Below are 16589 nucleotides of genomic sequence, written 5' to 3'. Positions count from 1 at the left end.
TACACACATATGGATATATATATTTTTCATATACATATATATATATATATATATATATATATATATATATATATATATATATATAGTGGACTAAGGCTTCATATTTAGCCCTGAATCATATATATGTGTGATTGAATATTGAGTGAAGGACTTGGCAACAATGTCCTTGGCAACAATGGTGTTTGCCCTTTATTACATAAAGTCTGTAGTATGCAATGGAGAATGTAGGGTTCAAGGGAAGGAATTTTAAGCAGAAACTGGATAGAGTCAGACTTGATGTGGGAAGATAAATGTGGATACAATAAGGAAGATGGACACAATGAGGGAGAAACAGGAAGCTAGGGAGTTACTTTCTCATTAATCAAAAGAGAAGTAATGAACACGAGAACATGGCAGATCAAAGCAGAATGTCTCTTGGACCACAGACAGCATTACTATTTCTGTGCTAACAACTCAAAATAGTCTGAACTAGGAGGCAAAAAATACCATCTAATTGTCTAATGTACTAAATTTTCCCTCAGTCTATTTTTAACTCTAGTCAGGAAAACCAGGCTCTGTAGCATGTCCTGGTAGTACTATCAGGTCCACCCTATCATCATTCAGGAAGGGAGCCTCTCAGGAAACACTACTTCTGCTCTGGCTGGAAGGGACAATATAATATGTTTTATCAGAAAAAAAATGTGGAATTTTCTTCACTTTCTGCCAAAAGAGCTGAAACACATGCAAACCTCTCTCCAAATACTGTATCTGTTCACCATTAGTTATAGACTGAGAAGGAGAATCTTGCTGGGTTGGAAGATAGTTGCTGCCATTATCTGCAGGCATGCACACTGCCAATAAACAGAGTTGTGCCACAGAGTCTAATGTGTCTATTTTAGATGTCTTCTCCTTCATCTTTTGAAGCCTCAATTGTAACAGTTGTGAAACTACGTCAGGATTTACACAAATATATTAAAACAGAAAAGTTGCTGAGAACAGTTTCATGGTCACACTGTGAAGACTTAATGGTACAAAATCAATGTTTTCATGGCTCCCGAGGGAAGCTGAATTAATATCATCCCCCAAACAGATTCCTCCCTCTTCAGGATAGTGCCCTTCCCCTCATTTCATAACACACCTGCTCCCCTGAGCTAAGGAGTTGTATCTAGCACGTTGTTTCTCTGCAGATGCAGTAAAGAGGAATAAAGACTTACTAAGACTTAATGACCCTCGAGTCCATGTTTATGCCCAGAGGATTCTGAAGGCTAGGCTTGGGGATTCTGGGACATGCCTGGTCATAGGGATGCTCTCACTCACTATAAAGTTTTCTCCACTTTACCAGGCAGGCTCGTGGCTCAGAGGCTTGAAGGTGAACCTAATCGCTGTCTTTAAGAACCTGAGCTCATGCTGTGATTCTGCTCCAAGTGAGGGCTGGGAGAAGAAATATTAGAGAGGTAAGAATGGTTGGGCAGGAGAGGTGAGAAGATACAGAGGGGAGAAGAAGAGGGAAAATGAGGATATAAGAGGCCAGGTTCTTCCACTTTTCTGAGGAATTATCACAAGTACCACTGCACTACTCTTCACAGAGGAACACAACAGAGCATATGGGATTGGAACAGACACATCCATAGGTGAGGGCAGTGGTGTGCCAATCAGTAATGCACAGAATTTCTATTTGTTTCGGTATCTCTGTATCTCTCTCTCTCTCTCCCCTCCCCCTCCCTCTCTTACACACACACACACACACACACACACACTCACTCACTCACAGAGTACACTGTTCACAGCCAGAACATCACAAATACAGTCATATAGTAGCATGGCCATACTTGTTGTCAATAAGACAAAAGGATGTTATTGCAGACTTCATTTATATGTGTGTGTTTAAGGTGGTGGGTGGGTGTCACTTATGTCAATATTCAAATAAAATTACATGGGTATTAACACACTTGGACTGTACACTTTTACTCTCTTTCCCTCATTGTCTGTGTGAATTTAATGTTGCCAATTGTAACTTGGTTCCCTGTATCCCTACAATAAAAATGTAGCCATTTTTATTGTAAGCACAATACCCCTGCTAGCAAAATACAGGGGTAGAGGAAGCAGTGGGAAAAGCCCTGTGGGCTTGCTGGCCCCCCCAGTAAGCAATTTCAGCTTTGCCTCACAGAGGTCCTTTAGGAGGGCTGCTAGAGGCACTCGGAAAAGGCTACAGGGAGAAGGAAACCTCCAGCTGAACTTTGTAACAATTTGAACCCATTGAGAAATCTCCTGGCCAGAACTTGGGGAAGGGCATGAATCCGGACTGCAGACTCCACAGGAGGGGGAAGAACTAAAGCCCTACTTGCTTTTGCAGCAATGTTGCCAGAAATGACAGGATTTTATACTCTTTTATGGCTAAATAGTAATCAATTTTGTGTATATATATATATATCTATCTATCTCACATTTTAACCATTTGTCTGTTGATGAACATTTAGATTGATTCCATATCTTAGCTATTGTGACTTGTGCAGCAATAAACATGGTGGTGCAAGTATTCCTTTAATATACTGATTTTCTTTACTTTGGAAAACTACCCAGTAGTGAGATTGTTGGGTCATATAGTAGTTCTATTTTTAGTTTTTTGAGAAACACACACATATATATGATTCAGGGTTAAATATGAAGCTTTAGTCGACCTCCATTAACAATAAACTAGCTTTAGCAAGTTTATACATTTTTAGTAAAATGTTCCAAAGACTCCTATGAAATTTTTGCTGTGTGAAATACGAGTTATGTGGCCCCATACATTTTGGAAAGTTTTGTTTCTTTTTTCCGCCCATCCACCTGTATTTTGAATGGTTAATGTTGGATTGGTTAATCTCAAATTTGGAAACTCTTCTGTGCACTTACAATGCTTATGCTCTTTGCTCTTGATAAATAAAGATAAAAGTAAATATAGCTGCTTAAGAAAATATCAATTCAGTTTTCCAGGCAGAACAAGGTCCTTGGTGTTTTCAGCCTGCCTGGTGACTTTTTTAGCAGATGGCAGATATCTGGGGGGGAGGGGGTAGAGTTAAGCATTCTTGAGCCCTAAACCAAAGCCCCAGTAAATTGTTCAAGACAGAATATAAATTTCAAAATCTTACTTTTTCAAAGTGGCAAAGTGTTTCATTATATAACTTTTGCTTGAGATGTGCATACTGTTCTAGGTATATTCTAGAACCCTGATTAAACTCAAGGCTTGGAAACTACCAATGAAGTTAGGCACACATGGTGCATTTCCTGGGACTTACTTATGGATGACTCCAGAGTGAAACTTCCAGGCTGCAAGAATGGATTAGGACCCTAATTGGGATGATGAAGAGACTTAAGGAAAAGAATGTGCTTGGACCAAACAGAGGGTGGGGTTTGAGTGAAGAAAGGACCAGTGATGTCCAGTCACTTCCTCCAGCCCAGAAAGGGCAACATGATGAGGACTCTTTTCTCCAGGCACTTCAACTGAAGTCTGTACTTAGTGGTCCCCAGCTTTCCAGAGGTGGCTGCTCTCTCACTGCCACACTCTTTACAGAACCATATATGTGCTGTGTGCTCTTTGTGGGTGAAAAGGCTGTGGTCATCCCTGTCACATATGAGCATTATCTATTTTGAAATGACAGATCATATCCATTTTTGTTTCTGTTTGGATCTTGGGGCAAACAACATACCCTCACCAGTGTCTGACTTAAGGTCATTGTGGAAAAGTGCTAAGCTAAGCAAAAGAGCTATTGGCTTTGCAACTGAAATGCTCATAGTTGGATAATTCATAAAGTTTATTAAACACTAGCCAGTATTTGGTCATTACTGACCATGAGATAAGCACAATACATAAAAACATTACACTTCTATGCATCTCTGTATGCTCAAAGCATTCTATTGTATATAGATTACAAGTCAAAAAAATTGGTACTGAAGGAGAAGACCTAATTGTAATAAAAAAATTCAGCACACAGGTTTCTAAACAGTCACAGACTTGTCTCAAGCATATTAAAAACCACATCATACAAGCCCTAAGCAGTTTCTTATTAATCTAGTCTCTGTGCTAATATAGCCAAATGGGAAATACAATCTTGGGAATATGAAGGCCAATGTTATTCTATTAACCTTATATGTTATCCTATTTACTCTCCTGTCTTTAATGAATAAATTAAAATGTCCTCTCATTCTCTAATTGGTGGAGAGTTTGAGCATGACAATGTATGGGTTTTATTCAGCTACATTCTGTAACCTTAACGGCCCAAATGCTATCATTCTGTGAGGGATTTCAATGAAAGGCAATGACAGATAAACTGTTTACATTAAAAGACTCTATCAAAGTTATTTTGCACCCAGTTTCATCCTAATCCATCTGCTGTTTCTAGAGCTCTGACAGGCTGACCTCTCTTGCTGTGTGTGTCGTATCGATGTCATTACTGAAGAGGCTTTCCCCAGCCTTTCTGCTGATAACAAAGTAAATAGAAATGCAGAGAAACCTTGGGGAGGTAACAACTTGTTCAGTATGACGAGGGAGAACTGTGGCTACAAAATAGGACCGATTACAGCAGGGAAGAGTATCTGTTGTCACAACTAATGTATTCTATACAGCACACCAACTTCAAAAGAGCCAGCTGATAGCAGGAGTAAAATTCATTGCATCTTTTTCATTAGCAAACTTAAAATATAAATGCGGGCTTTCAATTTAATGTGGCTACTAGGTTCTGAAAGTTCAGTGTGCATCACAGGTATCAGGAACACATCCCAAAGCTGACAGAATGTTTGGGTCTTCGGTGGCTATGTAATTATTTCATTTGAAATTCTCAAATAGCAACCAGGCCAGTAAGCTCGCTCAACAAGAACAACAACCATGACCATGACCACCACCAAACAACAAACAAATCAAAATGGATCAAATATAAGACCTGGATTAAAGAAACTGGATTAAAAGCAACTTTTTTGTGTTCGGTAATTAGTAATCTGAAGATTTAAAAAAAGAAAAAACAAAACTATGAAGTGGAGGGGAAGATCTAAGAAGATTATTGTTTTCTGTAAATGCTCATATGCTTAAGGTGCGACTCTGCTACTAGTGTCTAGTTGGAAAGTCCATACATCTCCAGTAATTAATATGCTTTCAATTAAGTGAACATTTCACAGAATACCAGCATACTTCTTTGGCAGAAAAAGAAATAAGATGGGGTTAAATAAAATTGGGTACACTGGAGCTACTCACAATCACATGCCCAGACACAACACATTAGAATGTTTTGTGTTCAAAGAAAATTTTAATGGTTCAGTTCTGTTTTTAAAGCACTAGCATACTACTCCAAGCTTTAAGTAGGGTCTTTTAGTGAACCTGGTCACTAATTGAACATTTTCAGTCATATCAAATGTTTTCTGAACTTCTAACTGTGCTAAATGAAGTCATCTAATATTTCAATCTAATTCATATTAATAAGATGTTACTAATGTTATAATGCCCTAAAGGAAGTTTCTAACAAGACCCATCTCTTTTATGGCTTTTAGATTTCTAAAGTCTGCTGCTTCTAATGCCAATGTGAGCTAACTGGGGCATGAGACAGCCATGGCCAGATCTAACTAGGCTTCAGAACCCAGGCATCACAAGCCATCCCGCTACCTGTGGACACCAGACTACATGTTTAGGGCTGTGGAAATCAGACATCATAATATCACTCAATTAGACATTAAGCAGATGTTTACCTGGCTCTAAGAACATGTGCTGGAGGGAGCTTTGGAGTTTGCCCGCCACACATTCTAGAAGCCTTTGGAATAAGTCAAATTGCGGATAGTTTAAAACTTTAAAGACAGCAATTTTAATAAACCTGTCCATACAATTTCTTTGTTAAAAAAACCTTTGAGACTGATTAGGCTGCTTATATTGAAAGAGAAGCACAAGGTCTATATCTTTAGATCTTTTATTGAACTGCAAGCATAGCATCAATAACTGCTTCTCAGCTGTAAATGAAAATTGATTCCAGGTTTAACTCCTGATTTTCAGGGGTTCCTTTAACCCCGAGAAAAATGAAAAGAAAAACTGACAAAAAGAAAAACCAGAGGTTTAGTGGTATGAGGCAGGGCATACAGAGAACATAACATATTCCCACTCCCAAAACGTCTGTCCTCCTGGGTCAGGCCACTCCCTAGCCAAACCCCAGTGGCCATCTCTGCCTACCCTGGAGGACTGGCTTGAAAATGGAAATTCAATAAGTGTTTCATGGGGAAGGCCAGGGCTGGATTTTATATCTATGATGCCAACAGTGGCAGCTGAGAAGCAAAAAATGCAGTCAGCCAGGTAATAGACATCATGTGGCCCCCAAATCTCAACCATGCCATTGATATCAAACTTAAAAAATACATTGCAGCACATATGTTTATTCAGACACTAAGTACATAGCACTATGTCTAATTCCAACACTGTTCTGGATGTTTGCAATGTCTAATGTCAACTTCAAATAGTTATTTATCTCCCATTCAGGGACAGCTCCTGAGAGACAGCCAAGGTGAGTATAGCATCCTAGAAGAGCCTTCAAGCCTTTCTCTAGGGGACAGCATGAGCTCAGAAAGAGAAGGTAAGAACTGCAATAGAAGGGTATGAATCAACTCTCCACCCACGCCAATCCTTGGAAGAAAAACTCTTTTGGAGACACATAATTTCCTGGAGGACTTGGTGCAGATCATTGGCAACCTAGCCTTTCTTTCTGGGATCTCTAGTTTAAAAGTTGTCAGGGCTTAAAGGAAAGTTAAGGTCATTCATATCTGATGGCTGCCTTTGGGGGCCAGTTAAGACATGCAATGCAGTTCCTAACAGATCCCTATGGATACCTAGGCCAAAATGAAGGGCTATGTCTATTTCCCTATGGATCCTAAAGAGAGGGCTGCCAGTTAATGTTTAAAAGGACCACAAGGAAGAGTAACCACCTATTTTGTAGTTCAAGGCATTTTCTTATACACTGTCTTCACTTGATCCTTACAGTACTCCATGAGTTAGACAAGGCTGGTTTATTCCAGTCTACTGGTAAGAGATCTGAGACTTAGAGATGTTAAACAACTTTCCCAATGCCATACAGCTAGTATACAGCTAGTATTTGAGGCCTGGGATTAAACCCCAGGCTTCTTTATTCCAAAAACTATGTTCTTAATATCTACATTTAAAATTACTCATGGCCAGGCACACAGCTAATAAACTTTAGGATGACAGACATTTTCATTCAAGTTTGCCATATACAGGATAGAAAACCCAGCAGCTGTCTTTAACATCCCATTCCTTACAAGAAAAGGGAAAGTAAATATATGTAGCATCTCAAAGAATGTGAAGCTTTTTAGATCATTAGTAGCACCCATAACAATGATGATTATTATCACGTAAAGTGGTGAGTACTTACTATGTGCTAAGCATAGCATCAGGTGCTTTTGCCTGTATTGATTGACCTAATCATTGAATCCCCAGTATGACCCAATGAAGAAGGTGCTATTTTTACCTCTATTTTATAGGTACTTAGGTCTTTGCCCAAGGTCAACCAGTTTCAGAGTGGCAGAGCTAGAATTCAAAGCCATGTCCGTGTAACTATACAGCTATACTCTCACACGCTCTCCTACACTGTCCCAGCATTGTCCCACCACCTTAGAAAACAGCATGCATATGTCTGCTGCCCAAATAGTCCCAACCAAGAAAGTCAAATGCAGTAGAGGACTGGAGAGAAAACACAAAGTTTTAACAGGTATTTTCAGGCTGCAATCACTATCGTGTCTTCATTGAAGCCATGTACATGTGTGATTACATATCTCTGACTTTAAAGAGTCATTTGAAGGTAAAATCTTCTGTTAAAAATGTTTTCTTATGATCATGAGTCTCTATGGCTGACCATTTGGCATCTTTAATTTATATATTATAATTCCCCCATTCTGGACTCATGTTCCATTTTCCCATTTGAGGGAATAATATTTAGCATTTAAACATACCCTACTTGCTCTGCTTGTGTTTGTGCACATGACCTGTCACCTGGCTCAGCATGGCTAACACTGCTGTGGAAGGTAGAAGTAGCAGAAAAAGGGGAGGCTGTTCTGATTGTAAGATACTCGGTACCCAAATGCCAGTTTAGAGGCTGACACAACTTGATCCTGTGTTTCATTTTCATACATGTATTTGAAATGTATTCTCTTGGGGATGCTTATGCTCTAAGCCCACATTATAAGCTCTTAGATACTGTTTGAAAAAGATTGCTGTGTACTCACTACACCTGGATAATTTGAGTTTCTTCAAATGAGTCAAGGTGTGATGATTATGGATGAGATGATTTGGGGACGTCTCCAGAAAGTAAATGGCTTTTTTATTGGACTATGTCTGCACGAATGCAGCCACTGGGTTCTGAGCCATTTCTAACTATTATGTCAGCTGAAACCAGCAGTGTTGTCTGGGCTCTTGAGCACAGTTTTATGGACCAATTCATTTGTCTGTATGCTTTCTCCCCAATCATTCTGCCACAAATGGAATGACTCCGCAATTCTTTTGCTCAGCCAGGAGGCCCAAACCTACTGCTAAGGTTTGCTGTAAGGTTCAAATGAGACACCACACCTAGCTTGTGCCTGGCATAGAGCAAGAGTGGTTCCAAAAATGGTAGTCTCAGTACTCCTCCTTATGATGGTGCTGGAGGTATGACTGTCCCAATTCAAAGATGAGTGAACAGTACTATGTTATATGCATGGCACTATATTATCTAAAACAAAATGATTTTGGTGATTCCTCTATAAGTTAACTGTAGAATTACCATGTGACTCATCAATTCCACTTCTAGGTACACACCAGAAAGAAAACATGTCCATGTGAAACTTATATACAAATCTTCACCGTAGCACTATTCACAGTAGCCAAAAGTTGGAAACAACCAAAATGTCCATCAAATGATGAGTAGATAAAGAAAATGTGGTTTATTCATACAATGGAATGCTACTTAGCCATAAAACAAAATGAAGTACTGATACATGACATCGAACAACCAAGAAAATATTATGGTAAGTGAAAGAAGCCAGACAAAAAAGGTCACATATTATAGGATTCCAGTTACATGAAACAGACAAATCCATACAGACAAAAAGTAGATTAGCAGTTGTCGGGGTTAGGGGGAGGGGGAAATGGGGAGGAACTGTTTAATGGGTATGGAGTTTCCACTTGGAGTGATGAAAAATTCTGGAACTGGGATGGATGCACAGTCTTGTGATTGTATTAAGTGTCACAGAATTGAACACTTTAAAATGGTTAATTTTATGTTATGCGAATTTTGCCGCAATAAAAAAAGAAAATTATTTCAACCCATTTACTTTTACAAAAAGACATTATGCATCCTAAAAGCAGAGCTCTGCAAACATTGCTAGTATTACTGCTGCCACTACTGCACAAGCATTCTCTTTTGGTCTATAGCCTTCCAGGCCTTGTAACTCATCTTCAAACTCTACAAGGAGGGTTCATTTGCAAATGTTTATAACCTTGTGCCTACATCTTGCTCCTAGGACTCAGCTAGAGGGAATAAGTTGTCATTTTGCCTCACCTTAGAGCCCCTAGTTCAATCTCCCCATCAAATTTTCACTGAGAACCTAAGCCTTTTTGAGGAAGACATCATGACTAGCGGCAACATGTCATAAAAAGGTTCCAACCCACCAATCCTGATCATCTGAGAGTCTCAGCACTTACAAAAAGTCAGTGAATATACCCTAAAACTCAGATGATTCAGGCTAACAGACCCTTTGCCAATTTTGAGATAAATACAGAAAATAACTTTATAAGTTAAAAAGTAGATTACATTCATATAATTACATAAAGAGGAAGTCAATGTGCAAAATCTACTTTCAATTATTATTGAATTCTACTTTAAACATTTCCATTAAAAGGCAACTTTTTATCTGTCAAAATCAATGATCTAGAATGTTTTCATTTTTGCTTTTGTTTTACTTACAAATATGATGCTCCTGCTATTGGCGTATTAAATGTGTGAAGGAGAAATGACAATTTTTGGAAATGAAGTGTACATTTTACATTTGCTATGAAGCCCAACTCAAGCAGGAGGGAGACAGCTTGCATCCAGTAAATGTACAGCAAGCCCTTGGGGAACAGTTGTGAAATTGGCTTAGGCCAGCACTATGTAGTCTGCACTTACCCTGTGGTTGTTCTTGATAAAGCACTAAACTTGCAAAGATGCAATTATTTTTTACATATTATTAAAATTCAAGCACAAGAAAGTGGAGAAAGTAAAGTAGACAAAAGTTTTGGCCACATAACGTTGAAGATGGATTTTATTTTTAAAGTATACCAGAATGGTAGGAGTTCTAGTGTGGTAAACAGCTGTAGATGAGAATAGAGTAGCTGAGCCTTGATAATTTTTCCTAAGCTTTTCTTTGTAGGCTCTTCCTCATGAAATGTTCAATGAACATGGAATTCCATATTTGTTAACTCTCTTGAAATACGAGTGCATGAGCATTCCTTTAAACAGTCTGTTTTATAATGTAGCAGACTTCACTGTAGGAAGATCTTGGTCAGGTACTGGATTTAAAGAAAGGCAATCCTTCTGCATTCCTCACTTGAGGTGATAAGCACACCCAGAAGGACCCCACATTCGAGACAGTTCTCTCTCAAGGAGAAAATGTGCAAGCATCATTGACACCACACACTAGGTTGCCGTTCTCATGAGTCATACATGATACTTGGCCTTTTCAAATCATAAAGTCCAGTCTCATTGAAATGCTGAAAACACACATTCCTGCCATCTCATTTGGTGGTAAAATACTGTAAATGCTTAAAATGTGGGATAGAAGGATACAAGGGCAGCCACAAGTTTTTGCCAAATGTCTTCTGCCTAAAGGTTCATTTAATGGCAAGATGTTGCGTATTGATTCTCAGCTGCATTCTGAAATGGTGCATCTGGGAAAGGTGAATGAAGCATCACATTTATATCTAAATTAATGAGTATGGGTTCCAAGCCTCACACCAGAGTCACCAAATGAAAATTATACCTCACCCAAGACAATAAGTAGTCCAAGAGAGGGCAAGACAATCTCTATTGCTTACCACTGACCAGCATTTGTGTATGGAACAGAGAGAGAGATGGGAGGGGGTTGAAAGCAGTTTTAAAGAGCTCTGCATCTCCTTACTATAGCTTTAATGAAAGTTTGAACTGATTTGACCTGTTCCAGAACACTATGCTCATCTTTGCTTCTTTCCCTCTCTCCAAAGCCCAGAGATAAAGCATGGGGAAGTTTGCGCATGTCAAAGCATGTCAAAGCCATTCCAGTTCCTCCTGCTCCCCCCTTCATCCCAAAACAAAGCCCTAAGCTCTTCTAACCTGGTAGAGCTCAGTGGCAGTGCACTGAGTGGTCAAGGTCTTCACAGGCTCAAGGTCATCTTCATCACTGCTCAGCTTCAGGTCATCCTCAAGCATCCTACAAAGAGATCAGAGTGGTGTTTGAGTTAGAAGGCATATTTTCTAAATCATCCTCGGATACATCTTGCAATGAGAATAAAGTATTGGAGCTACAATCTGACAGCTGCAAATCCTTCAAAGGTGTAGAGGGAACCAAGATTGTTTCAGCTAATTAGATATTTGAGCTCTTATATTTATATCATATTTGCACATATCTTCCCTCTCTACCTTCCCCTAAATCAAGGGGAAAATACTATTTCAGCATCTCCAGAGATGACTGGATTCTATACATTTTTACTACTAAAAGTGCAATAAATGTACTGATCAATCACTGTGTATGTGGGATGTGGCACTGGATCTCTACAGGACAAGGTGCTCAGAGTTTCCCATGAAAGAAGAGGGGCATGATAACCATCCCTAGCTCTGGAGGCTGTTGTCAAAGCCTGCTGGGTCTCTCTGGATGACGGAGGTAAAAGGCACAGTGAACCTGCACTGCCTTTCAGTGCCCTCTGCTGCTGGGTAGCTGGGTGGCCGCAAAAGAGCTGGGAGAGAAATGGCTAGTCATTAACCTTCTGATATATGACCGATCTCTTCCTGTAAAATTTGATCTGAGAGATGTAAGCCCATGATGTGGATAAGAAATCTTTCTCTCCTAAGGCAAGGCACCTGAAAAATGAGTGGTCTGGATTTTGGTGATGAACTAGCACTTTCAAGATTGTTTATGGAGCCACAAAGCCTTTTGTTTCTATAGGGATATTAATTCCAGTGGCATCCTCTCCAAGTGTGAGCTACAGCAGGACGAATAGCTTATTATCTTAAAATTCCAGCTACACTGTCTTTAAAGACCTATTGGTGTTCATATTTTTATTTATTATATATAACTTTATACCTCATCCTTAGGCTTCAAGAAGGGACAGTCTCAGCCTCTCTGGACCAATGACCATTTCCTATGCATATATTGCTCTTTCTTGCATCTAGGCTCTGCATCAGGCTCAGCTCCAGGGCTAGAAATCTCTTTCTTAACTCTGGAAATCCTATTTATCCTTTGTAGCCCAGTGATCCCACTTTCTGTACAAAAGCTTTCTAGAAAGAACTCTCATCTCAGGAAGAATATTTTTTTCCTCTACCCAACCCTCAGCTCCAGCTGGATCACAGCACAGCTTTCCACTGAATCTCTCCCCACTAGTCCGTAATTCCCATGAGGGCAGAGGGTGCAGCATTTTCACCTCACTGTGCTTCACAGCATCTTCCCACAAATGATAGAGTCTACTGGCCTCATTTTGCAGACAAGGAAGGAAAGATTCAGAGAGGTGAATTGCTTTGCTGAAGCTCACCCAGCTATTAATAGTTAGTGCTGGAGCCACTCCTAAAATTTCCATCTCTGTAATCCCACTTGGGTGTTTTTCCAGAAGAGAAGCCAGAAGGGAAAAGGAAGCTTCTAATTTGATAAATAGGGGGAAAGTTACTTCAGAGGTTATGTTCAAATATTGAAAGGAGAGTCAGGGCAGAGCGGATATCCAATAACTCTCCAAAAAAAGCACAGCTCCCCCACTTTCATGCTCAGTCACATAACACTAGAATGTGTACACTGAGGTCGGCAAACCAAAGACTGATATAAAGGATGATTGCTGGGAAGGACAACTGTTAGAGTGGCTTTCGGATAAACTAAATTTGCAGGATTTATGACTGTCCTTCAAGAGACTAATGGATGTTTTGAAGATCTTAGAGAAGGAGAAAAAATGTATCTTGGTATTTCTTTTGCAGTTGCAGACTTCTGACTCTGAACAAATAATTCTTTACAACACATTGTGGGAAATGAAGACTGTATCATTCTCATAAGCTATAGAACTCAAATATTTACAAACTACCTATGCTTGTTATTATAAATGGCTTTACTTTCCGTGTGTGTGTGTGTGTGTGTGTGTGTATCTCAATACATCTAGGGAATGTCTATGTGTTAATTTATATTCAAGTATTCAGCAAAAGAAATGGTAAATAATTCCTGCATTTAGAGGGTCAATTTTCAGAGACAGAGAAAGTCCTAAGTATTTGACCAGCAGCACGGAATTTGGTCCTCACAATACTTCTATGAAGGAGATGATGTTACAGCTGCATTTTTCAGATGGAGACTCTGAGGTTTAGACAGGTTAAGGAGCTTGCTTGTGAACACACAGCTAGAAATCACGGAGACAAACATGGAACCTAGATCATCTCCAGCTAGAATTGGGAGTATACAAGGTTTTCCTAGAGTGTACAACTTATAAAAGATGGTATATTCAATAAAATTGACAGCAATAACAAAAACCTCAGAAAACATTAGCATGGAGTCAAGATACTGGGACTCAATTGCTGGCTAATCATAAACCCCGATATCTGGGGTAACTTACCAGCTCTGAGGTTCATCTGTGTCCCTCATCTGTTCAATGGGATAACACTTTGGTTCCATCACAGGAGGGTGGTGGTGAGCATAACAGGAGCTAATGCATGTGAAAGTGCATTATGAAAGCACAAAACTAATAATGCGGGGCACCATTAATTTGGAAAGCTATCTCAGTTGGAAATAACGGACTTCATTAATACTATTAAAAAGTAATCAGAAGCAGAAGTTTCTGTGTGCCTTTGCTCCTCTCCTTTTAATTTTCTGAACAATCTGAAGGTAATCCATGATGACTTGGGAAATGTCTAAGGGCATCTCAAGGCCAGATGTAGAAATGTGCTTGTGGTCTTCCGGTTTCTCTCCTTCAGGTAGAAGTAGCACATCCAGAGTCAGAGCACAGAGGTCTGAACTCAGCAGTTATTTTACTCTCCAATCAACATTATATGATTTTTAACATGGAGATGAAATGCACTCCAATGTACAGTTCTGGAAATAGGCAGCCAATCTACACAGCGATCCACATTAAACAACCTCCCCACATCCCCACCATGCAACAAGCTTGGTATGGATTTGGCTGTTAATAAAGGAAAATCTGATGCATACATTTAAGTCCCAGTAAACACAAGTCAAAGAAGTAACTAGGAAGCAAATTACTATTAGTTATCTCTGGAGGAACTAGGCATTCATTTCATTCCACTTCTTCCCTGACCTATTAAGCTTTATTATTGAATATACATGTACTTGTTTGCATTTTCATCCTTGGCTAATGCTGAACATTACTCTAGGGAAAGCGTAGGATTATGAAAGATATTAGATTTAATTATTATAGCAGCACCATTCACACCCAATGCAGTTAAGGTCGTCTCAGCAGAAAAATGGTAATCTCTTTTCATGAGGTTATAATTCCATAGACAAATTCATGACACATAATGTGAAAAAAATTGCTCATATAAATGTATGCCTGTGTGTGTGATCTTAAAAAAAACAGACATTGTTCTTCAACTTTTCAATTAGGTGAAAACAGAACCAATTAGACCTCCTTAGTGAAGTCTGTTGTCTGTTCAGGGTCTAGTCATCCACAATGTTCATCTTGGTGTAAAAATGCTGTTTTTAGTTTTACTGTGACCTATAATTTGTAGTATTGAGACATAGAATAATCTATAAAACTGTGAACAAAAAACCAAGTTCTTGCCCTGAGGAGATGATCCTATAAAAGCTCAGATAGTGAAATTTGGATGAGATGGAATGGACCAAAAGAAGATCTTTGTCCTTGATTTTCTGAGCTTCAAGCTGAACCTAGTGGCCTCCAAGGGCTCTTTGCACTGAAACATTCTAGTGCACTATGACATGACAGGTCCCATGTGAATGATAACCAGAAAATCATAAGATCACTCTCCCAAAACCTTGCCAATTTACATAGTGGAATGCTTAGATGATTTTGAAGAGGGAAAAATAGAGGGCTTGAAACATTATTATAGAAGGCTGGCAGGAAGAAGCCCTTGGTTGAGTCAGCATGGACTTAAGAGCAAGGTCTCGAGAGCCAAACAGACCTGAGTTCAAATACAGGAATTCCTAACGGATTTTTTTTTAATACAGTAAATAAGACCTTTTGAATCTCAATTTTCTATATGTTAAAATGGGCAATAATAATACCTACTCTGGACAATTTTTAGAATTAGAAAATAAAGTTTATACAAATTGCCTAGGAGCCAATACAGCTACCAGCTATCACTTTCATCTTGGTTACTATTGATATTGTTATTATTATTGTCAAAGGAATTTTGTTGTAGAGGTGGGAATAATAATTTTTAAAAGCTGATGTGTTAACCTAGAGGCTGGCAGAGGAATCAGGCCCCACACATCATTGGAAACCATGACCAAATAAGGAGAGGTTCAAAGACTATAAAGGAGTTTGGAAAGTTTCGGAGCTTTGGTTTACTCTTCTAGAAATGGCCTAAATCCATCAGATCTGTCTTGGGTTTTCTTAGATCCTCTTGGAGTGCTTAAGTTATCCCAGAAATTTGAAAGACAGTTGCAAGAGGAAACATCCAGACCGTACCAAGTGAGAGTTCAGAAAAAAATGAGTGGTCCCGATGTTCTGACCTTTATACCTGGGAAGCTACCTGCTGATCCAGAGAAATGAACCAAGGGCGACCCCCCAGTTGAAGTTGTGCTCACCTTGAGCACCGTGTCTTTAGGCCTGTCACTCTCAGGAAGCTGTTCCAACACACATCTGTCTCTGAAGTTTGCGTGTAAGACTGGGCATAATAGGCTCCTAGTTGATCCAGAATCCTTGCTCAGAAACAACCGTTGGGACACTGAGTTGTTCTCAGGACTTGCAAGCCTACACAGTGCCTTTTTGTGAACTACAAAATGGTGTTCCTCTTGGCAGACAGCAGCACTTGATACTGGCTAGATTCCAGCTTCAAGGTATCTATGGTGCTAGCTGCAATGCTGGTGACTGATTCTCAGATGTACTCTTCCAGTTGGAAGTACTTGAGAGTGCTATCTCTTTCACCATGTCACTGTGTCACCTAGTGGAGAGAACTGCAACATTCCTAACATATGGTCATACATGTTTTTTTCTGATAGGTAGCTAACAATACCTTTCTATTGTTCAATACCTTTAATTGTGAGAATGATCTGCCAGTTAGGAGTTGCCACGTGCTTTCCTGTACCTTCTACCTTGCAGCTGGAGTCTTGCTCTCTATAGTCCACACTCAGAGACTAGACTTGTAATGATGTTGGAGACAGAACCAGTGTTGCTACCTCTGTCATATAGGAGAGGGAGGAGGTTATTACACTCAGGTTTT

General features: G+C 39.4%; 1 protein-coding gene across 6 annotated transcripts in view; it reads right to left on the bottom strand.

The window, feature by feature from the left end:
* Positions 1-16589, bottom strand: part of AFF2 (ALF transcription elongation factor 2) — a 500047-nt gene that overhangs the window by 103357 nt on the left and 380101 nt on the right. For all 6 annotated transcript variants that reach the window (NM_002025.4, NM_001169124.2, NM_001169123.2 and 3 more), the window contains one exon: positions 11322-11418. In NM_002025.4, coding sequence (NP_002016.2) covers positions 11322-11418 — 97 coding nt within the window. The remainder of the gene's footprint in view (positions 1-11321; positions 11419-16589) is intronic.

The sequence above is a fragment of the Homo sapiens genome, chromosome X (assembly GCF_000001405.40).
Source record: "Homo sapiens chromosome X, GRCh38.p14 Primary Assembly".
NCBI lineage: Eukaryota > Metazoa > Chordata > Mammalia > Primates > Hominidae > Homo > Homo sapiens.
Note: the sequence above shows the minus strand (reverse complement) of the source record. Positions and strands in the feature narration are given on the sequence as shown.